The sequence below is a fragment of the Homo sapiens genome, chromosome 5 (genome assembly GCF_000001405.40).
Source record: "Homo sapiens chromosome 5, GRCh38.p14 Primary Assembly".
NCBI classification, from domain to species: domain Eukaryota; kingdom Metazoa; phylum Chordata; class Mammalia; order Primates; family Hominidae; genus Homo; species Homo sapiens.
The window spans coordinates 135,035,031-135,058,060 of record NC_000005.10 but is presented as its reverse complement, the minus strand read 5'-3'; the positions used below and the strand labels follow the sequence as shown (position 1 = coordinate 135,058,060).

At 53.7% G+C, this 23,030-nt stretch overlaps 2 long non-coding RNA genes across 3 annotated transcripts in view, besides 3 other annotated features; one reads left to right on the top strand and one right to left on the bottom strand.

Annotated features, from left to right (window-relative positions):
* Nucleotides 1-23,030, bottom strand: part of PITX1-AS1 (PITX1 antisense RNA 1) — a 311,407-nt gene that overhangs the window by 286,620 nt on the left and 1,757 nt on the right. The window contains exon 2 of the long non-coding RNA NR_161235.1: nucleotides 5,539-5,607. This is a non-coding gene — a long non-coding RNA (PITX1 antisense RNA 1). The remainder of the gene's footprint in view (nucleotides 1-5,538; nucleotides 5,608-23,030) is intronic.
* Nucleotides 4,491-4,550: an enhancer, noted in NCBI's record as "active region_23167". NCBI's record gives its function as "activates an Ori minimal core promoter by ATAC-STARR-seq in GM12878 lymphoblastoid cells {active_cell/tissue: GM12878}" and the evidence as "EXISTENCE:reporter gene assay evidence [ECO:0000049][PMID:35858748]".
* Nucleotides 6,998-7,582: an enhancer, noted in NCBI's record as "H3K4me1 hESC enhancer chr5:134386169-134386753 (GRCh37/hg19 assembly coordinates)". NCBI's record gives its function as "activates a minimal SCP1, AML or CMV promoter by ChIP-STARR-seq in naive H9 embryonic stem cells {active_cell/tissue: H9 hESC(naive)}" and the evidence as "EXISTENCE:reporter gene assay evidence [ECO:0000049][PMID:30033119]".
* Nucleotides 8,762-9,362: an enhancer, noted in NCBI's record as "H3K4me1 hESC enhancer chr5:134384389-134384989 (GRCh37/hg19 assembly coordinates)". NCBI's record gives its function as "activates a minimal SCP1, AML or CMV promoter by ChIP-STARR-seq in naive H9 embryonic stem cells {active_cell/tissue: H9 hESC(naive)}" and the evidence as "EXISTENCE:reporter gene assay evidence [ECO:0000049][PMID:30033119]".
* Nucleotides 18,014-19,230, top strand: EPIST (esophagus epithelial intergenic associated transcript). Of its 2 annotated transcripts, none has more exons than NR_105050.1 (2): nucleotides 18,014-18,460; nucleotides 18,840-19,230. It is a non-coding gene; the product is annotated as an esophagus epithelial intergenic associated transcript (long non-coding RNA). The 2 variants fall into 2 exon arrangements; NR_105049.1 differs by having other exon boundaries at nucleotides 18,014-18,465.

Here is a 23,030-nt window from a genome sequence, read left to right as displayed (position 1 = left end):
GGATGCCACATGATGGAGGCACAGACTGGCGTGACGCGTCCACAAGCCAAGGAAAGCCAAGGGTTGCCGGCCATCACCAGAAGCCAGGAGAGGGGGATGGAACGATGCCCCCGCAGAGCCCCCAGAAAAGAGCCAGCCCTGATTTTGGACTTTTAGCCTCCAGGAAGTGAGAGAATACATTTCTGTTGTTTTAAGCACCCAGTTTTTAGTACTTTGTTATGGCAGCCCCAGCAAACAAATACTGAACTCATGGTCATCCTCATCTCCTTCATCTTAAGGCATCTCCACTCTGGCCCCAGTAGGGAAGCAGACACTGAAAACTAAGCACAGATATGGTCCATGATGGGTCTCAGAAACAGACAGGCCCCTCTCCTCCTGAAGTGCTCTCAACTACTCAGTCAGCTCATTAAAGAATCACTGCCCCCAGCTTAAAGATGTTCATAGCATTAAAGATGTCCTCCAGACGCTGCACAACAGAGCCCTGGACAGATAGAAAGTGGGGGAAGGCATGGGGTCCTCAGAAATGCCCCAGGCCACCCCAGAGCTTGAGATAAATGCAAGCAGGGGTGGGCACCACCTGGGATCTGTGCCAGACCTGCAATGTAGGATTAAAATAATGTGAAAGCCATGCCAGCTGACGAGACCATGCTCCACTGAGGCAGGGACCACTACATCCCCAGTGCCTGGGCAGTAAGTGCATCATAACTGCAAGTACAATAAATGCAGAGGCAAATGGAGAGGCAAAGGAGAGGGGACTGCCAACCCCTGCATGGCAGGCAGTGGGGGTAAGGGAAGGAGATGTAAAAATATGCCTGAGTACATCACTAGGATAGCTCCAGGAAAGCCCTGACCCCCTGAGGACATCCCCGACCACCCCTACACCATGCACCTGTGCAAGGTTGCCAACAACCATCGGCGCCAGGACCCACCAGGTACGGGGGTGTCCTTCACTTCCCAGGGGCCAAATATCTCTGCTGTGCCTAGTAGGAAAGAAGAAATATTGTGCAAGTTTGAGAGCCTGGCTGCATAGGTTCAAATCCCAGCTCATCTGCTTACTGGCTACATAAGCCTGAACAAGTGTCTTAACTTGCCTGTGCCTCAGTTTCCTTGTCTGTAACATGAGGGGGTAACCACACCGATCTCTTGGGTCGAGGAGGACTAGATGTGTTAATGCATGGAAAGCACCTGGTACAGTGCCTGGCACATGGTACGTGCTTGGTAAGTGTAAACTGACACTATTTACTATCATTATCCCATGTCCTTACAACTCCAGGGAATAGATCCTTTCACTTGCTTTGTCGGCATTCACTAATGACTCTTCTCCGTATGACGACACCCAACAGCTATTTAGAGAAAATTATGCCTTGCGCCAGGAGCCCAGAGGAAAGTTACCAAGGCCCAGTGGGAAAAGCAGACAAAACACTCCAAGAATACGAGATATAAAACATCATCATCAGTAGAGATGGGATGACCTAGGAGGTCATGCTGATGAGGGCATGTCAGACCAAAAGACATTTGGGTCTTGAGGGTTGAATAGGAGTTTGTCTGGTGAGTCTTGCCCAGTCCCATAGTAGGTGTTCCATAAATAAACAGTGACTAAACTGAGGTAGAGTCACAGAAGAAAATTTCAGCCTAAGGGAAATGAGAATGTATGGTGTGTTCAAGAATAGAGAAGGCACAGGCTATGGTTTAGCTAAGGTAGGGAGTATGTGAGCAAAAAAGCAGGAAAATAGGTTGAGGTCAAGTTAGGCAAAGATCTTGAACACCACAGTCAGGGGTCTTGGCTTTATTAATGGCCTCTGCAGAGCCAAGACGGGGGTGAGGGTGAGGGTGACAAATAAGAGCTGGGTTTAGAAAGGTGGCTTGACTTGCAAAGCAAGTGACACAAAGCTGAAGGCAGGAGACCAGGGAGGAGGCCAGAGCATCCCCATCTTCCCTCACCAACCGAGCCCTGCCCTCCATTTGCCCTTCAACCATCTTCCTGGTAGAGATGTTCTCAAGCTCACACCCCTGAAGACCTTACACTCCAGCTATTCTGGCGAAGGACACAGTGCCCACAGCTGCCCACTATCAGAAGATGCCCTCAGCCAAGACCTTTCAGGGAAACGTTCATGTCTCCATGCAAGTCCCCAGTTGACAAATGGAATTGGGCTCAGAGACAAGTTCAAGCCATAAATTGGGAACCCTGAGAGCACAGTGACTTCTGGAATTCCAGGAAAATAACACTGAGCACTTAAAGCATGCAGGCCTTTCCTCTCCCTCACTCCCCAAAGGCACCCCCTTCCCGTCTGCTCAATCCAAGGATCCAGGCTAGTGGATTTCTTTCCAAATGCAGGCTGTGATGTTCTGTGTCATGTACACTGGAGAATTCCTCCACGGCTCTGTGACTTACCCAGCCGGGTCCCAAGCTGTGCTCTGACCTCACCAGCCTGGCAGAGAGGTTGCCGATGCTGCCAACACTGCCCTGACCGTCTGCCTGGCAGCTGGGGCCACACTTAGGCAGCTGCCCCAGCATGCACTAAAATTAGGTGGCCCATTAGACCCAGGACATGGTGATCACAGGCACATTGCCAGCACTGGCTCAGAGGATCATTCCTCCTAGCCCAGGACTCAAGCCAGGGCAGAACAAGAGTGGCCCAGCATCTCCTCTTAGGCCCAGGGAAACTGAGGTCTGGAGAAGGGTAGGGACCACCAAAGAAGTGTAAACTTTGATTCTTGTTTATTTATTCAATAATATTTCCTGAGGCTGAAAAGTAATATAGTAGAAACTGAAAATATATTCCATGAAGAGGTCAGGGAATTAAACAATCAGAACCCCACCATCTGAGCTAACTCACTTACATTCTGCTGTGTTTTATACAACAGAAAACATACTTTACAGACAATTTATAAAATATTTCTTTCTCCTACTTAGCATCATTTTTGCAAATCATAAAACATTCTTTATATACATTAATTGAGTCAATTTATAGTATTCCATTTTATTGAGATGCCATAATTAATGTAATAAAAATTTCCTACTGTTGAACATTTAACCTGTTCCTTGTTTTGCTATTATAAATAACACTGCAGTGAACATCCAGGTGCATGAATCTTTGTCCCCATCTATGACGATTTCCTCAGGATAGATTTTAGCCAATGGAATAAATGGGTCACCAAGAGAAGCATATTGTAAGGCCCTGATACAGATTGCCTGCTGCTCCCCAAAAAGCCAAACCACAGGCTAGCTTTTGATAGCAACCTCACACACCTCTGCCTGCACTGGCCGTGGCTCCTTACAGCCACAGTCTGCTCATTCCTGGGATAATTTCTCTCCCAAGGAATCCAGTGTCTATAAAGCCTGCCTGTCTAGCACTGCAACCACATGAATCTCTTCAGTGCAAGTCTGCCCCATGGTTCCTTTCCCCTAAACTAGCCAAAGCATCCAAGAGATACAGGGAGGAATCAAGTCCCAGGCCCCAGGGACTCAGACGTGCTGCTACTCCAGTGTATGTGAGGCTTAAATTAGGGGTCAATGTGAAACCCATTGATCACATCCTTTGAATAGCCCCAAAGACCTCTCCTACATCTCCACCTTTCCCCCGGTTCACCCTGCTGTACACACACCCAGGAAATGATCCCCTTGAGGGGTGCTATCCCTCCCCAGCAAGGTTAACTGATGACCCAAATTATGACAACAGACCTAAGCCATCAACCCATAAAGCAACTTGGCCAAGAATCGAATTGCCTTTGCATGTCCCAGCAGAGAAACTAAACTCCAGGCTCAGTGTAAATAAGCTGTCTCTGGTCCGACGTCAGCCCCTCTTGCCGGCAAGTTATGGATGGCACTGCGTATCACCCATCATAAATACAGCCCCTTGGCTAAACAAAGCCGACAGCTTTGTGCCAATAACCTTTGAACCACTCAAGCCCAGTGTCAATTGTATTTGTCTTCAAGCTAGGTTTACTCGAGACTGTTTGCTAAATCAGGGCTCATCTGCGGAGATAATTCAAATATATTACAGGCACCAGGCAGACACAAGGGCTTCCCCCACCTGGCCTCACAGGGGTCACCACCACAGCAGCCTGCACATCCCCTAACCACTCAGCAAGTTATTCTGGGAAAGAATAAGAAACAAGGGGCAAAAAGAGACACTGAGGCCAGGATCATAACCTTGGATCTGCCACCAGCTCTCTGCGCAACCCCAGTGAAGTCACCAGACCACGTGAAGCCTCTGTTTGCTCCTGAATGCAGGGAGAACCTAGTCTTCTAAATCACAGAGAACTTATTTTTGGAGGCCTATTCACAAGCAAAATCGGCCTGCATGAAGGAATCAGCTCTGGAAGTGCAGAAATGCAGAATGAGTTCCCACCTCGTGCAAGAGATGGATGTGCCCAGAGCAAAACCAAGTCCTGCTGGGCTGAAGAGCAGCCAATGTGAAAACAATCTTACCTGACTCTGGTGGGGCAAGGGGGGAGGTTCTAAATAGATATGGTGTAATACATAGATACCTTTTAACAAAAAGCGCTATAAAAAAAAAAGGGGAAGCCACTCTGTGGTCAAGGCAGGTGCAGTTACCATGGCCACCGAGGCTGAGCTAATTTGTACAATTTGCATTTCCTGAGTGCCTGCTGCATGCCAAGCACTGGGTGCTGCCAGAGAGACAGGGACTCAGGCAAGGCTCATGCTCCCACAGCCAGGGACCCCCACCCCACACCCATTCTGACCACCCCACCCACCCATCTTCAAAATCTGGGGCCCTCTCGCCCAGGACTCTGAGTCCCCAGTGCTTCTCACCATTTGGGGAGCTTTGCCAAACCCAGTCACGAGCCTCTCACCTGCTAGGATCCCAAACGACCCCCAGGACGTGGGACCAAGACCCAGGGAAATACCCCACTTTGCTTCGTCTCATGACCATGAAGCTGTGGGTTTGATAGTTCAGGAGGTTAGGGTAGGAGGACTAGGGAGTCAAAAGCTGTGTTTAGATTACGTCCCATGAGCTGCTCTTGAAAATGAATGAGAAGAAACTCCACAAAAAAACTCTGTCAAGAATGGAAGGGCCAAAGAGTGAACACAGCTGTCAAGAGAGGCTCCAGGCAAGCTGGCCCCAGGCACCCAGCACCTATGAGCATCAGCTCCTCTTATCTGTAAAATGGGAATCACATGTTTTGCCCAAGGAGTCACTGCAAAGATCAGACAAAATGGGAACCATCAAAGCCTTCCACATCCTGAAACACGCAGGAGGGATTATTGCTGTTATGGTTATAAGGCTGTGCTTCTTGCACCCAGTCAGGAGGCAAGAGATTCGAGTTCTGCCTCTGGTTCCACTTCAGGAAAGTGTCCCCCACCACCCCTGGGCATCACTAGAATAATGAGAGACTTGCACAAGGCAATCTCTAAAGTCTGTTCAGCTCTGATGCCATAGGATTGATTCTGTGATGTGGGTTAACTACAGAGGCCAGCCCATGGCAAGGTGTCCCCTCAGAGGTCAGCCCACCCCCCACCCCCCACCAATATGATGGGAGGATGCCGGCAAGACCAGGGTCGTTGTCACTCACGTTTGGGAGCCTCACGCCTCTCTGGGATGCCGGACCCCTCCAGCTTCCACGTCTCATCTCAGCTGGCACCTGGAAGACGGGAGAAAAAGGTCACCATGCTCCATGCCTGGACCATCTCTTTATCATCCACATACCTGGAAGCAGGAAGACAGCAAGGCAGCAGTGCCTGTGCTGAGAATGAAGGCAGAAGACATTTATAAATGACCCTCTTAGCTGTTTACGAGACACCTTCTGAGAGAAAGCAGAGGAGGAGAAATAAACTTGAAGTAGGGAGACCTGGCGGGCGTCGCGATACGCTTTGATAAGCCAGCTGCGCCAGCATTTCTTCTCCATTTTTATGACCACCTTTACGGCCCTGTGTTTGGGACTCTTTATCAGGGGCCGGAAGGAGAGCATGAGCAAGATCGAAGGCAAAGAGCCTTCCCCAGCAACTCCACAAGCAGATACAACCTCATCTGGAGATCAAGATAACCCCAGTTTTACTCCCAGTCCAGGCGGCCATCCCCCAGACACCCATATCTGAGGTGGACAAGAAATTCCTGAGCACGGCAATAAATCTGCAGATCCAAGCCCTCCTGGAAGCCCTGACTGAGCCAAAGCCACATGGAAACAAAACCAGGGCTGGGGCTGGGACTGAGGTTCTCCTGAGACCACTTAGCAGCCCTCATCGGTACACTCTGGAGCCCTTGTCCCACAGCCCACTGAAGTTGGAAAGAGCGTTTCAGGGCTCCCTCCCCAAGCAGGGTTTGGGGTCACAGCCAGGTTGGAGCTAGGACTCTGCCATCCCCACTCCCCTGAACTTGCCAGGATTGTGAAAAGGCTGAAAGCACCAGGGCAGGAAGCTCTTGCATCAGCCAACCTAAGTCTGAATCCCAATTCTTCCCCTTGCTGCCTGAGGCAGTAACTCCCTCTGGGCCTTAGGTTTTCTCATCTGTAAAATGGCCCATGCAACAGTACCTAACCTTGCACGATGGGACACACAGAAGGAACTCAGCCAATAGGAGCATTACATTGGATGACTCGACAAAGTAGCCAAGAGGCCAGAACTCACCACTTGTTTTCACAAACTGGCTGGGCCCTGGAAGCCTGAAACCTTCATACCAGCCTCATCTGAATGACGGTGGCCCTAACCCCTGCCCTACATATGTGACAAACCATACTGGGCTCCTAACATGTCATTGTGCTTGGGGGAAAGGAGAGTGCTTCAGAGATGGAGAAAGTCATAGTCCTGACTCCCAAAAAGCCTGTGACCAAAAATAAGCCTACAAAGGCAGGACATGCTAAATACAAAACTCCAGGATCATGGCAAGAGAACAGGAGAGTAGATATAATCACGGTCAGGGAGGGAGGCCGGAGAAGGCTTCTCAGAAGAGAGGTATCTGGGCAGGGCCTGAACAGGTGAATAGGAGTTTGCCAAAAGGAAGAGAAGGAAGAGGAGGAGAAAGCCATTCCCTGCAGTTAGTTAGGCTGATACTGGGTCCTTGGTGAGTCCCATGGAGAGGAGGCAGAGATGTCTGGGAAAGGGCAGCAGAGGGTGCACACAAATGGTGGACCGGCATCCAATTACCAAGAACCTTGAATGTAGGCTGGGCAAGCTCAGTCTCATGTTGAAGGTGTTGATCTGGAGTCTGGGATTGGTAAAGTTGTGGGACAAGGCAGCCACATCAATGTAGATCGCTTTGGGGAAACTGCGTTTGGATCACAGCAGAGGGGAGCGTTCCAGGGTGGCTGGCGAGGAGGCCAGAGAGCGGGCGGGAATGTTTTGCCTGAGGTATCAGCCGTGTGGACTCCAAGGTTGGGGTAAATCACAGCTGCCCCAGGTGGCTGGATCATTGCTCTCACCGCCTGCGCGCCCCTGCGCCAGCTCTGCTGGCAACCATGAGGCTGGGGACAGACGCCCGAGTGCGGCCCTGGCTGCTCCACGGTTCTCCGGTGGCACAGCGGGCTCTGCAACGCGCCGCTCTGGACCTGCGCGCGAGCACCTGCTGCTGGGCCACCCGGCACCTCGCGCGGAAGAGTGAGGCGGCGCGTAGTGAGCTCCGCGCCTCTACGCGCCCTCGCTGTCCCCAAGTGGTCAGAACCCTTGCAGGCAAAACCCACACGCGTCCTCCTCGCTGGGCACAGTTCGGGCCCTCTGTGCCCAGGCTCTGTGAGATGTGCTCGCGGCCCGCGATCGGCCTGTCGGTCCCAGCAGCCATGCCGGGATGGGCTCCAGCGAGGCTCAGGGCGCTCTCCCCCTGCCGCGCCACTCTTGATCTCCCCCTTCCATCGCCCTAGCCCCTCGCCCTCCTGCCCTTCCCAGGTCCCGAGACAGCTCCTGGTGTGCCATGAGGGCATGCCCGTCGCCCCACAAGCAGAACCTCAAACTGCCTAATTATTTACATTTTTAAACGTTTTATTTTGAAATAATATAAATTCACGGGAGTTGCCCCATATTTCCTTACCTGAAATAATATAGATTCACCCAGTTTTTCCTAGTGGCTACATCTTATTAGCACAATAGCCAAACCAGGAAATTGATCGGTATAAAGTGTGCATATAGTTCCATGTCATTTTATCACATATGTAAACTCATGAGATCACCACCGAAATCCAGACACTGAATCACCCCATCAACACCAAGATCTCCCCACTGCTCTCCTGACAGACACACTCACCCCCTCTCTTCCCACCCGTCCCAGCTCCTGGCCCAATCTGTTTTCCACATTGAAATGTCCATCATTTTGAGGGTGTTACATAAATGAAGTCGGACAGTATGTGCCCTTTTGAGATTGGCTTTTTTTCACTCAACATAATGCCCTTGAGACTTGGCCAAAAGGAATCAACTGTTCATTCCATTTTATTTCTGGGTAGTGTTCCATAGTATGGACGTACCAGTTTGTTTAACCATTCATCTATTGTAGGACATTTTAGTTGTTTCCAGCTTTGGGCCATCACAAATAAAACTGCTATAAAAACTCAGGTACCTGTCAGGAAGCCGAGCATCTGCCCCATTTTTAAACTATTCACATTTCTCCAAAATGTCTTTTTTTAAGTGGTTTGTGTTTATGATTTAATTATGTTTACATATTTAGACCCACTTCCTCCCAAAAGGCTTTGAGATGACCTTTTCTTAAGTACATAGCATAAAGCAAAAAAAATATCAAATCAAAATGGAGAACAGAGAATGAACTCAAGAGATCTAGCCTCAGACACACACTGGTGAAAAGGTCCATACCTAAATGAAGGTGGCTGGGGAAGTGGGGACCTTTTCTTCTCTCTTTCCACTCTCCACCCATCCCAGGCCCACCAGAGAGTGGAAGGCAAAACAGAAGTGTGAGCAGGAAGCAGGGAACTCAGACGTATGGACCCAGAACCCAGCAACAAGCTCCACAAAGGCCCCAGCCTGCATTCCTCTGTCCTCCAGGAGGGAGGGCCAGTCACCAGCCTTCCCATAAAGCAGTTCCCACACACACTGGCAGCCCCTCTTCCCCTGCTTGTAGGCTAGGGTGTGGGTGGCTAAAGAGGGTTTCCCCATTGCCATGCTAGAGGCCCAGATGGACCCTTGGCCAGGTGGGAACCCCACAAGGCTGCTGGAATGAAAGAAAGTACCTGACCTGGGGGTGAGTCCTTCCTGTCTTAGGCACTGAGGCCCCAAGCTCACCTCTAAAGCAAGGTACACAGCCAGGGAAGCCTGGACATCTGGTGATAGTTCCACAGTAATTCTGGGTGGGCCTGTGACAGAGCCCAGGATGGGGAAAGCACTCGGACTTTCTCTACCAAGTCTCCTGGTCAGCCCTCCTCTTCCTGAGGGCCCATGGAGGGGGCGCCTTGAAGAATACTGGACACAGGGCATGGAGAGCCAGAGGGAAGCATGGAGACACAGACTGAGGCATGGAGAGCTCAGGCCACATCCCAGCTGGGGGTCCAGGGGCCAGAGCCTGGGGGTCTGGGCCGCCTCCACTCAGAAAAAAAGGAGGCCCAGCCTTGCTAAGTAGGCCAGATCATCAGAGTGAACTCAGGAATTTGGCCTTCCCACCCCCTGCCAGGAGACCTCCTTCCCAGCTCAAAGGAAAAAGGCAGGGGCCCTTTATAGTCCTCCACTGGCCTCTCATCCAGACCAGCTCAGCCGCCTCTTGCTCCCTCCCTACCTTCCTACAGCAGAGCCCTGCTCAGGCCATTTCCCAGCTTAGACATCCTTGCCTGAGATGGTCCCCAGGGAGTGGGAAAGGCACCTCATCACACCCCCATGATCACTCTGGGCTCTGCCACCCTGAACTCAACTGAACTTGCAGGTCCCCAAACACTGCCCACCTTCCCCAGCTCCACATGCTTGCCTATCTGTGCATTCTCCTAAACACCCTCCCACCTGCTCTGAAGGAAGTCTTGCCAGGGTCTCGAGCCCCAGTGCAAATGTACCTCCTCCAGGAAGCCTTCTCTGATGCAGTACCTCACCTGATGCTCACAGTTACAGGCGGTGAGAAGGTGGGGGATCAGAGCTGGCTGGCCAAGGGTGAGGATCCCATATTACAGTGAACAAACTGAGGCCCAAATAGGCAAAGTGTCTGGTCTTGCCACCCTCCGCCTCCTGTCCTGCCCTCTTGCTTTAAAAAAGTAGGTGGCCATATTTGTCTGGAATATGGGCAGAAAGAACAAGGTTCCTTTGAGCCCCCCAGTTCTGGGGATGGGAGTATTGGGCCCCTCCCAGCCTGAGTATATCCAGGTGTCACAAGCTCCCAGGTCCCAGGGCTAGACCAGCTCTGCCTCTTAGGAAACTTTACCACTGTTGGCTTTAGCCAAACTTCCTGGTTCCTACAGGAAGAGGGACCTTGGGATGTGCAGGTCACACCAACCTCCTAGCCTGCCAGGCACCTCAGGTGACCCAGCACCCAGGGACTCCCAGGGAGATGGAGCTTGTGGGGCAAGAAGGTTGCCACCAACATGGTCCAAGCTCTGGCCAGCTGGCCCAAAGCATGTGGGAGAGGATGATGGCAGCTTTGGCAGAGGACACAAGCCTGGAGACAAGGTCTCATGGAGCCTTCAGGCCCAGGCCACTCCCTTTTCCTTGCTATTTATGGCCCCTTGGAGGCTGCTTTCCCCTTTGTTCTGCCAAACAAGCTCACTCCTGACTCCCAAGCCAGCCGGGGACTTGGCAAACATTTGTCAAGACTCGTCCCCTCACTTTGTGTTTGTCTACGCGGCAAAGATCTGGGCTCTGTGCACAGACAAGTTTCCCCTCCAAGGCCCAGGGGGAGCCCCCATCCTCTGTGGCCCCAAGGCTCCACTGCAGGTATACCAAAGTAGGAGTCTCTCTATCCACCAAAAGTTCAGCGTCCCTTCACCCTGCCTGAAATGCCACCATTGTTCCTCAATACCATGCATTCCCCCTGGGGCAAGAATAGCATCCAGACGGTGTCACTCAGACAGTCACACCTAAGTGCAGGCATTTGAGGAGTTTTGGAGGGGGGGTGGGGGGGCCTTTGAAGACTCAAGGCTTGAGATGGAGGGCTGAGGGTGAGCTAGAATCCAACAGGAGGCAAGGGAGGGGGAGACAGGTGCACCCCCAGCTCCAGCCTCCATGGGAGGGGCTGACCCCACCCTGTGTCCTGGACTCACCAGGATGGTTCTGCCCAACCAGTTGAGGTCAATGTGCCCTGATTAATGCTGCTAGACAGACAGACAGTCCCCAGTAAGGCAAGGTCTCTGGGGAGATGCCAGGTTCTCATTTCATAGTCAGTGCCAGGATGAAGAAAGACGGAGGTCGGTGCCAGATGGAGCCCCAGAGAGCAGACATATTCTAGGGAGAGTGAGTCTCTGGGCCTCAGTTTCCCTGCATACACAGTAGGAACACAGAGGGGAGCCCATTATCCTGGAGGCCATGGCTGCAGCTGCCTCAGACTCTCTGGCAAAGGGCAGGAGAGAGGGAGCAGCCCCAGACACAACCCAGACACCAGGCAGCGCTTTCACCTCCCTGCAACTTGACTTCTTTGATCCTTGAAGATGGAAACAGTCCCTGCTCTACAGATTCGCTTTGAGAACAAAAGGAGCTAATGTACAGGAAGATGTTTGCGAAGACCTGACACACACCTGGGGGCCTAATCCATGCGAGCTGGTGTTATTATTACTATTATTTGGGGCTTTAGCCATGTCACTGAGCCTCAACCAATTTGAGTTCCTCATGTGTAAAATGAGCTGACAGCCAGTTGTGATGGGGAAATAGCCTGATAAAATGAGCCCACTTCAGACCTAGCACACAGCTGGTGCTCAGAAAGTGTTAGCCCCTCTGCATGCATCCAGTAGGTATTCAATAGATGCTTGCTGACTTCAATCACAAATGGCTAACAGGATATTTAAAAGGAACAAGAAACAGGTCCCTGAGGGATAAAGAGGGAGGCTGCCTTGGCTATCCCCAGGGTCCAGGACCCTTGGAGGCTGGGCTGGAAAGCCTCTAAAGGGGCTCCTACAGTTTGCAAACTGTGGCCCAGGGAGCTCTGGAGCTCCTCGGGGTTGTCTATTGCATCAGAAGGGGCTAGAGGGGACAACAGACAGCAACCAGGGCATCATTTCATTCCTCTATTTAGGAGTCTTAGTAAAGTTTCATCTGAAAAATGTGCCCTGTTGCCTTAACTAACCTCACTTCTTGTTTTTTAGGTGAGAAAATAAAGCCCAGAGAGGACAATCAGCAAGGAATCCAGCACCTTGGAGCCATGGAAACCCTTCTTGGTGCCTCTTTAGGCTCCTCATGGCAGCAGGGGCAGGAGGGCACACAGGGTGTTGTGCACCTAGCCCCAGGTGGATAAGAACATCCAGATGCACCTGCCCTTCACTAGCTTTGTCATGGCCCTGCCCCCATCCCAGCTTCAGGGTAAACCCCTGCTACCTTCAGTGCTCAGCCAGTAGGTCACTTCCTCCAGGAAGTCTGCCATGACCACCAGGTTAGTTTTGCTCTCCTTGTTCTGTGCTCCCATGGCTCCAAAACTGCACCACTTCTAAAGATGCATTCATCTTTGGATCTGATCCCCTGTGAGGGATTGCACCAGCATTGTCCATCACTCCTGAGTCCCCAGCACCCCACCCAATGCCAGCACATAGTGTGGGTACTTAATAATTGCCTGTTGAATGAACGACTGAAGTATGGCCTCCATTTTCTCATCTGCAAGATGAATAAATACCACCTTCCAGGGTAAGAAAAGTGGGCCCCTCACTGGGCTGGCTGGTAGGCTGGCAAGCCAAAGGCTCAGACAGCAGGGGTCCTTCTCCTGCTGCCCCTGAGCAGCTTCCAAGGTCAGGCAGCCAGGCAGGAACCACCCACCAGTTTCCTCTGCCATGGCAGAGCCTCAATCTCATGAGCAGAGGCCTGGGCTGGGCATATGGGATCCCTTACCAAGACTCCAGTGCACCTCACCCACCAGAAATGCCTGCCAGGCTGGCACACACCCTCCTATTTATTTAGGATTTGCAGAGAAGGGAAAAATACAGAGTACTTCAAATAATCTGCAGAGGAAAAGAGACCACAAAGCCCTGGGGATCCAGTAGGGGCTCCCATAGCCAGCCCCAGCCTGACCCTAGGATCTACCAAGGGCTGCTCGGGATGGTCCCACGAGCTGTGGCTGAGGGCCAGGCCCTCCACATATAGGCATCTCTGTCCCTCACAACCCTGCGAGGCAAGAACTCTGCATCCCTCATTGAACGGCTAAGAAAACAAGGCTCACAATACTAAGGGGGCAGAACTGACACTCGCACGCAGGCTGACTCCCAGGAGCCTTGAGGCCTTGAGTACAGGGAGAATTGGGGCCAGGCATAAACATAGAGCATCTCAAGTCCCCAGGTTCTGTTCCCTCTCTGGTACTGGAGTGAGACTGGAGTGCCAGGATGCACAGCATGGAGTGAGGCTATAGCAGTGCTGGCCCCCAACCACCCTTACAACTGCACAAAATGCACTCCCATCTCCTCACATGGAGGTGGCCCAAGGACCCCCAGGAACAATGGCAGTCACTTTGAAGCCACTGGCCCCGTACATCCAGGGTTCCCAGGCTAAAGGGTAGCAGCCCACAACACTGAGGAAACATAAATATTTCATGGGCAACTCCTTCCCAGCCTCCAATCATGTGTTCAATTGTCATGAAACAATTCAGAATTTCCAACTCAGGGCTAATAGGCTGCCATCAGCCAGTCAGCCAGCACAGGCAAGGGCAATTACTTTAAAAGCTTCCAACAGGGTTGTTCACTGTACTGGCTCCCCAAATTGTCTATCTGTGATAGTGGCTGTGCCCCTTCGGGCCCTGAGCACCCTGTGTCCTGTGCAGCAGTCAGATATCTGGAGGGAGACTGAGGCACTGGCTGCAGAGCTTGTGATCATGAGAGAGACTCACTAGGACTACAGATGGGTAAACTGAGGCCTTCGAGGGGGCAGCTCCAGAAAGGCAGGGGCCATAATGTCTCACCTTCATATTTCCCGTGCCAAGCTGTGGCCTTCTGCATTCATGGCAGATGAGTGGACAAAGGCTGATGGACTGATGGAGAAACAAAGGGATAGATGGAGCAGCTGGGCAGCTCAGCAAATGATGCTGCAATGATCTGCTTCCAACTCACCTCAAATCCATCCTTCTCTCTCCAGGCAGAGTGGGCTTTTAAGATACACATCTGGCCAGGTCTCTCACTGTTCAAACCCTTCATCTGCTCCTTTTTGCCTTCAGGATAACATCCCACCCTCCTATCAAGGACTATGGAGCCCTGTGGGATCTGGTTCCCACTTGATTCTCCAACTTCCTCTTCCCCTATGCCCTGCCTTCTCATCTGTTCCAGTGCTATTATGAAGCCACACGTTCTTCCTTTATTATCAAGCATACCACAGTTTATCTCACCTCAGAGGCTTTGCACAGTATATTTTCCTAGGGAGGGGTCCCCAGGTGGTAGAAAAACGGTTACAGCCAACTCCTCCATGTGTCACTCAAGACCCTTCAACAGCAGGCTGCAGATTTCCTCTCCAGCACTGTGCTCCAACTGTGTAATGGATTTCTGTGTCTGCCTCCTTGACTCAACCCAAATGAACAAGAGCCATCTATCTCTGTATCTCTGCAATCACAGGCACAAAATAGGTGCTCTCTACATTTTTTCCAACCTGAGAGGCCATTCTAGAAGGGTCTCAGGCCACGGTTCTGTCCAGTATTCCATGCAGATGCTGACAGGACTGCAATTAAAAAAATACTTGAGATGCCCAAATGCCCAAATAGCTTCTCATTTTGCTTTGACTACCAATAATTGCACAGTGCAATAGAATAATGCTCAAATACATTAACATCTTACTTGATCCTAGGGGGTCCTCTCTACTTTTAAAGCCTCAAACTTCCTCCCTCTCACAGGTGAAAAGGGGAGTACAAATACATTCCCTCCCTTGCTCTGCGGATCCATTCCTACAGGTAGTCAAGACTCTGAGCTTCCCCTCTGACTTTCTGGCAGTGCTTCACCTCTCCCCACAGATGAGTGCAGGAACAATTCTAACAGACTTCAGACTCTTCCAACAGAGCCAATCCCTCCCCATCACGTTGGAGTGGACTTGCTACCCACACCATCAACAGGCCCCTGAGAAACTTCACAGGGCAGGGGCTTCTTTGGTAAAACCAACCCTTTCCTTCCACCAGCTCAGAGAAGTTGTTCCAGATAGATGCCAGGATTCTTGGAGGAGCATGGTGATTCTGGGGTGGAGCCTCTGACCCTGGCCAACCAAAGGCCTGAGCCACTCTTCCCCCACAAAGTGATTGGCGCAGGAGTGGGCATGTAAGCTGGACCCAGCCAATCAGCATAACCAAATCCCTTGCCCACCCTGGGGAGGGTCCTATAGTTGTTGCCAAGAGAGGCTCACCCCTGTTCTCAAGAAGCTTACAACTGGTAGGGGCAACAGGTTTTAATCTATCATTACACAAATATTTAATTTCAATACTGTTGCAATAAGAGCTATGAAGGAAAAGAACACTCCCCCTACTTTTACTTGGTGTTAAGATTTGAAGAAGAAAAAAAAAAAACACTGCCTGAAGGATTGTTATGGCCTTCTATATAATAGTGGCTGCAGACATTTGCCCATTATGTTCAGCATGAACCCATGTGACAAATTCATCAAAGCGTTTTGCACTAGGGAGAAAAATTTGTATTAGAGGAAGCACAGCAGTTTGGACTGAAAGACAAAGAAAATTCAGCCAATTCTGCTGATCTTTTTTGATGGGGCACCTGGAAGCTGAAAGCTAAAGTGGTACTCAGGAACAGGGACTGCTACTTCTGTTCCTGGTGAATCCTGCCCCAAACCTCCTCTCTCTCTGATTCCTGATTCCACTGTGCCAGTGGGAATATATGCTCCCCAAGATGTCAAAACTAAAGGGAAATTGCAAAAAATATATACATATATTTTTAGAGAGAAAATAAGATTATAAAAAATGTGTTTTGTACCCCCCAAGTTTCACTAAGAACTTCCTGACTTCCAGGCCCTGGTTGTGCCCCACGCACCAGCCTGCCCAGCTTTCCTGGACCAAACTTCCTAGCACCTAAGCAGGGGATGAGGGCAGATAAACTAAATCAGAAAAGGGATCTGTTCCTCCTAGACTCAACCAACATGACCACCGTGGGGAAAGAAGAAACAAAAACAAGAGCAAACTCTCTTAAAGAGCAGCCTGGCAGCTATCACCATTAGCATTCAGCCCCTCTGTCCACAGGACTCAGGACCAAACCCCTCACCTTCACTATCCCATCCGTTTCCCAAGAAGCAGAAATACTTATTCTCACATTTCACAGATGGGGAAGCTGAGGCTAGGAGAGGTTATGTTATTTGCCAAAGCCACACAACTAGTAAAAGCCACTGACAAGATTCTGGCTCAGGCCATCAGGTGCCAGAGGCAGCATTTTTTGGCACCACAGGCCCTGCCTGGGAACAAGAGCATGCAGAAAATCTCACAAGAGATGGGAACAAAATTTGGAAAATTGCTAGCGTGCAGGGAGGGGGGAAGGTGTGATTTCCTGCTACAGACGCCAGAGTAAAAGCCACCCCAGGAGTGCCTGTGCAGCCCTCCATAGTAAGGTCCAGCGGCTGCATTTATGCCCAAAGATGCCCCTGGTGCTTGGAGTGGAAGGAAGATTCCAGAGACAAGATTAGAAACTTCTCAGCTTAGCAGCTCTAGGGCTGGACCCGCCAACAAGCCATTTTACACATAAAGCAGTCAATGGGAGGGGGTAGACGTAGGGGGCTAAACTCCCCACAGCACAGGGTCCAAGTTGGTAGACTGCACTTTCTCCAGGCGCAGGTCCGCTAGTGCCGGCATCGGGGACTCGTTATCTTAACTTGCGACCCTGGGTGCACAGAGCCCTGCACACACCACTGGAGAGGGGTTCCTGCTGTCGAGGGTTGAGAGGAGGGTATGGAGTCCCTGGAACAGCACGACAGGGTGCAGAGGCCACCTGGCAGGGCCTGAACACCGAGGCCTCTGTGAGCTTGGGTCGGGCCGGCTTCCCGCTTCGGAGGTTGGGGAGGGGGTCGTGGGTCTCTGCGTTCCCAGGCCAAGCGGCCCTGGAGGCACGGACTAGCAGGACGCCGAGGTGGCGCGGGTCGCGGCCTCTCCCGCAGCAGCTGTCGGCGAGAACCAGGCAGGGAGGCGCCGCTGCTGACTGCATCTCATGAAAGATTCAGGCCCGGCTGCCGCGCTGCCATCTCCCGGCACCTTGCGCCGGAAACGGTCGCTCTGGAGCCCGTGGCCGTCGGCGGGCAGGCTTAGCCGCTCCAGTCCCTGAGAAAGGCAGGCCACAGCCCGACCTGCCCTGTGGTCCCATCCCATAATCCCAACAGCAAGCAGGCTCAGGCTGGGCACTTCGGGGTACCAGGAGTAGGTTCGGCCAACTGGTTTCCACCATGAGGCTTCGCGCACAGGGTTATCTGGCCACGAGGCAACGCTGGGGAGCCCTGTGGCCTGAGGGTGGGCAAAGGACAGGCTCCCAGTTCCCTTGCGTCCAGCCCGTCTCCCAGCGGCAGCCAGCCAGGAACGGCCTGCGGGGCCACAGGGGTGGAGGCGTCACCGTTCGCAGGCCCGCAGCAGGATGGTCGCTGGGGGATGTGCAGGCATAGGGGTTGGACAAGGGGCCCCAGAAGTGTCTGTCCTGAGGGGTTGGTGTGCCCTTTCCTCACCAGCCCAGCCCCTGAGGAGAGGGAAGAAGGCAATTCCCCCAACCAGGGCAGGTCGGGCGGTTGCCCCACCCTAACACCCCCTACCCCCAAACACAGAAAACCTGGGGTCTGTCCTCAAACCTCCCTGGCTGCCACGCTCTGGGCAGCGGACTCTCCCTGCCAACACGCAAGACCAGCTCCCTCCCGCAGGCTGAGCAGAAAGAAGAAAGGTCCAATCTCAAAACCCCAAACTCGACCACCAGCCCCCGTCTAAACGGAAGTAGGGCCAGCCCCTCACGAGTCAGGTGGGAAACTGGGCCCAGGGAGAGAAAGTGCCCCAGGGCCAGGCTGGGACCCGCTCTGGCTTCGTCCGCATGCGGCAGGGCCCCTCCACGGAGGTCCCAGGGCGCGCTCCCCGGCCTCGAGGCCCGGCCGCCAGCCGCGCGGACCCCAGCCTACGCCCCGAGGGAGGCCAGGACCCCTAGCCGGCGGGACTGCGCGCCGCCCCTCTCCCCGCAGGTCCCGGCGAACACCTAGCTTCCCCTCCCCCCACCCTTCCCGCCTCCCGGCCAGTGTCCCCGCCTTCCCCGCGGGCGACGGGCGGCGGCGGCGGGAGGAGCGGGCCGAGCCGAGGAAGCCCCGGCCTCGCGCGCTGGGATGTAGCGAACCAGCAGGGGCCGAAGAACCGTGCAGTGCCAGAGCCAGAGCTGGATCCGGGGCCCCAGCCGGAGCCGAAACCTGAGCCAGAGTCCGCGGCGGGCGAGCCCGGAGCCCACGAGCCGCAGACGCAGCGCTGCCCAGGTGGGGTAAGAGACGCTGGGCTAGGGGCGCAGGGTCTCCGCGGTGGAGGGGCGCAGGGAGGTGGCGGCCGAGTCCTGCGCAGTTTGCTCCTGGCGTGTGTGGGTCCACCCGGCGGCGCGGGACAGCGCAAGGCGCGGAAGGTCAGGAGCCTTCGAGGCAGCGCGAGGAGCTCGTTCCTGCGCCCAGGGCACAGTCATAGCCGCCGTCACCGGGTGCTACCTCACCCAACCGGCGGGATCAACCCTCTGCTTTGGCTCCGGGCACCTCAAGAGGGTAGCAGCCTCGGGGGCACGGGCCACGGCCCCGCGAAGGGCACAACCTGAGAAGCCCGTGGCAGCCCCTCGCAGCGTCGGGTGACACAGGGCTCCCCCACCCCCAGGAGAAGTGGGCAGGAGAGAGGGCCGCCCGCTGCTCCCCGCTGCGTCCAGGGATGGAGGGCCCCACCACCCATGGAATTGCTGGCCCCTCTGCGTGGCCCGGGACTTCAGCCGTGGCTTCGCGTCAAGAGGGTATTTTTCCTAAACGAAACCGCTTCGTTCGTTCGTTCGTTCGTTCGTTCGGGCAGCAATGCCGCAGAAAAGCAGCAGACGTCGGTCCGCGCCCTGGCTCTCTTCGCCCCGGACCCCGACGTCCCGCCGCAGCGCTCGGAGGTGCCCCCAGCCCAAGGCAGCCTGCTCTCGCCGGCACAGGTCGGGCTTTTTCTTCCCAGGAGAGAAACCCCAATTCCCTTCGTAACGTCCAATAAAGACATTCCCGCGGCTTCTCCCAGGTTTGGTTGTTGACGCAGGGTCCCGGAGCACGCAGTCGCTTCTCAAGAACCGGGTCTCGGATTTCTGAAATTGACCAGCTTCGTAAATTGGAGCCTATTCTCCCGCGGCAAAGGCAGGGCCCCAAAGCCGGGATCGCAGTAATGGGAACCCCAGGCTGGAATCCGGGTCCCAAGCTTTTCCGATTTAGGAATTCCCCGAATCTACAAATATTTAGTCCACTTTTCTGAAAAACTAAATTCTGAAAAACACAAATTCTCTTGACATCCCTGTGACCTCTGAAAGCCACCAGGGCCAGAGGGAGGAAATCCCAGGTTGCTGTCCACTGGGGGAGGATTCAGGTCTAGGGTTCAGGTCTACGGTAGTCAGGGCAAAAGCTACAGGCAGCAGGGGCAGCACAGGAGACTTGCTGTCCCCGTGCCCTTTCCCGGGGCTGCTTTCGGCCTCCCGCATCTCTTCCAGGGAAAGGAAAAGAGGTGGGCTGGGGCTTGGAGACCAGGCTGTCTGGACTCTAGGATGCAGAGGCCTCCAGACAGGCTCAGGGTGCTCTTCTCCCATGAAAGCAGCCGCTGGGAGGAGGAGGCTATGGTGCATCCATAAGTTGCCCCTCTGCTCCCCAGTTGTGCGACCAGCTGCTACCTCCTTCCTAGTCTTCTTCCCCACAGCTCAGCCATTCTCAGGAACCAGACAGCGTCCATGGACTTAGGTGAGAGATGGGCCGGGTAGAGCCATGGGTCCTACCAGCCGCTGACTGAGCGGCCCACGGCACAGAGTCCTGAGTTCCATACTCCCATCTGTGCCTCACTGGCGGCAGTCCTGCTCAAATACATCCTGGCTCTCCCCGGGACAGGCTGGGGATCCCCATTTGGCAGGAAGCCTCAGACTGGGGTCCCAGGAAGCCTAAAGGAGCCAGTGAGGTCTTTCCAGCCCCTACCTGAGCACCCTCCTCCCCACTTACCCAGTAATTGCTGTATTCAAAGAAACGGGAGCTTTTATTGGGGAGGGGGTGTTAGATCAGGCAGAAAGAGGTAGGTGGTCCAAACCTGCACTCCCAAAACAGGGTTTTCAAGTTTGAACTTCTCCACGGACTAAGAGGCTTAGGGCTGGAATGTCCCAGAGAGTCATGGATAGCCCTGGTGGCAGGCCATGGCACATTCCTTCCTTTTTCCTAAAATACCTTGATTCTGGGAGCAAGGATTAGGGCACGGTGCCCCCGTGGGTGGGTAGAAGGATGCCCCCCCACTGAGAGCCTTCCAACCACCCTTCCCAAATTACATTACTAAACCATTCTTGGGCACAGGGTGTTTTTAGTGAGCCAGGCTTCAGGAAGGGTCCTCATGGTGACTACTTCAACCCCACAACAGCCCAAGCTCTTCTGCTCAGCCCAGCCAAGACCCTAAACTCCAAAATTCTTGAAAATCAGAGAATCATTGCTGGCTTTGTGTGGTCACGGAGGGGTGGGGAACAGGGCACATGGTTCCAGCTCCACTAAGCCCCCTTCCCTCCTCTCTTCGTGTCCCATCAGCAAGTGAGCTGGATGCTGAAGCAGCAGGCAGAGTCCGGTGTTGGACATGGGAACTGAGGCACAGTGCAGATCAAGCCTTAACCTTGAGGGAAACACAGGTCACATAGCACAGCTGGGGGAACACAAAGCCTCTGCTTACTCCTGAAAGAGTGCTGTTTTCTGTCCTGTATGTGTGACGTGTCTGTGAGCGTGCAAGAAGCCCCTATCTTGACTGGGACAATGGCCAGTGAGTGTAGCTGGGGAAGAATTGAGAGCATGTCCAGGTCCCTTCCCCAGCCAACGCCCAAGATCAGGCCACAGCCTCCTCACAATCAATTGCCTCCTCACTCCTTGATCACTCAGTGCTGCCCAGGCCCAGCAGAACAGACTCTGCCAGCAGGCCCCACTAGCCCCAGCTCCTCTTTGGGTCTCAGGTCCCCTGAGGATATGGGGCTTCACCTGAAATGGTCTGAGGGCTTTTCCTTCTACACAGCAGGCATCAAGATCACCAAATAAAGGGACTATTGTGCCTGCCTGGAGCCCTGCCAGAGGTTTGGGCCCAGAGGGGCACACAGCAGGTGCTCAATAACTGCATTAAATGCACTAACAGTGAGGAAACACGCCCCTCAGACTAAGCAGTGAGTGCTGCTCACAGAATAGTCCCCATTGGGGGATGGCCCAAAGAGTCACTTTGGTCCCTCTGGGAAGTGAGAAGGCAAGTGAGAAGGCTGTGAGTCTTAACCTCCTCTAGAGGCCCACAGACAGACCATTCATTTCTAAGTCTCTACCCAGAGACGCACTGTGCTTCCCACCTTGGCCTGACATGTGGCAGGGTTAGAACACACCTCCTATCCCCTGCCAGCCCGCGTTCATGCCAAGTAGCACATATATGCCTAAACTCAGCACTTCCATAGTGCAGTGAATACATGTGTGTGTACAGCATCTCCGCATGGATGTACAGGATGTGTGTGTGTGTGCGTGCCCCCATGCTGTCTGCATTCAGGCTGTTCTTTTTGGTAAGACAGCTAAAAAAAGAATGGTCTGTGAAGGGACACTCCCTAGCACGCTGCAACACCTGAATATCTCCTTGAAAGGAGGGATCTTCTACTGCAGGAGACTCGTGGTAAAGGTGGCCAAGAAACATGGCAACGGTGGGGCTGAGGGCAAATGCTGGGCAACTGTGCTTCCCCATGTTCCCCTCCCCGTAGCCAAGACTCATTTCATGGAGGGAGATCTCAGCTTGGAAGAAGGCAGGAGTCACTGAGCCTCCCCAATCCAAACCCCTGAGAAGTGTCCTCCCTCTGGCCTCAGACCCTGCATCCTGTGGTCACAGACCCACAGTGAGAAAGGACCAGGCCCTAAGGAGCTGTGCTGTCTCTCCACGGCCCAGAGCGGGGGATGGGGATGGGGATGGGGATGGGGATGGGGATGGGGATGGGGGTAGGGGTGGGGGTGCTTTGGACTAACGTGGAGGGAATGGAAGGCAGGCCTGGTTCCACCCTGCATGCCCGACCCTGGCCCCAGCAGCCCCCACAAGGAGCTCAGCTGACCCTGGGTGTCTCCCTGTGATGGGAAGGGGTAAGACGAGGACTCAAAGGCAGAACCTGCAGAGTGCCCCAGACGCTGATACCTGCACAGTCAGTGCCACCCACCCAGGAGTTGAGGAGGCACTGGGTTTTGGGGTGAGGACACTGGACACCTCCCTGCTTCTTTCCCAGGCAGACAATCCTGGCGCAGCTCCCTTGGGTTGCTGTGTCTGGTGGAGCTGATCACAGGTGAGGGGCAGAGGGCAGTCTGGGGTCCGCCTATGGCCAGAGGAGCAGGTCAGGGCGGCGCCTTGCCGCCCCAGCTGTGGCCTGTTTGCTCAAGACGCTGAGGTCTCGGGGCCAGCTAACAATTGTTGAGCAAAATCCTTCGACAAACTTCACCTACGTGCAAGGACTCGAGGAGGGAATCACTCTTAGGAGTGGGAGAGTAATGTCTTTGCCTGTGCCCAGTGAAGGCCCATTGGAGCTGCAGCTCAGCTACCACTGTGTGGGAGAGAAGCTGGAAGACTGAGGGCTTCCTGGGCTGCTGGCCCAGGGTTGGGAGACAGCAGTCACCTGGCTTACCAGGCCTATGCCTGAAGCCCTGGGAAGCCAGGACGCAGGCCCCAGGCTGGGACAAAGCTACCCTGAAGGAGGGCAAAGGCTGCCAAGGCCAACCCCATGCCTGCCAAGGCCAGGCCTGGCCCATTTGGCCAAGGCCTAAGGTGTAAAACAAGGGGAGAGGTACAAGAGGCTGTGGGGTCTGGCTGGGA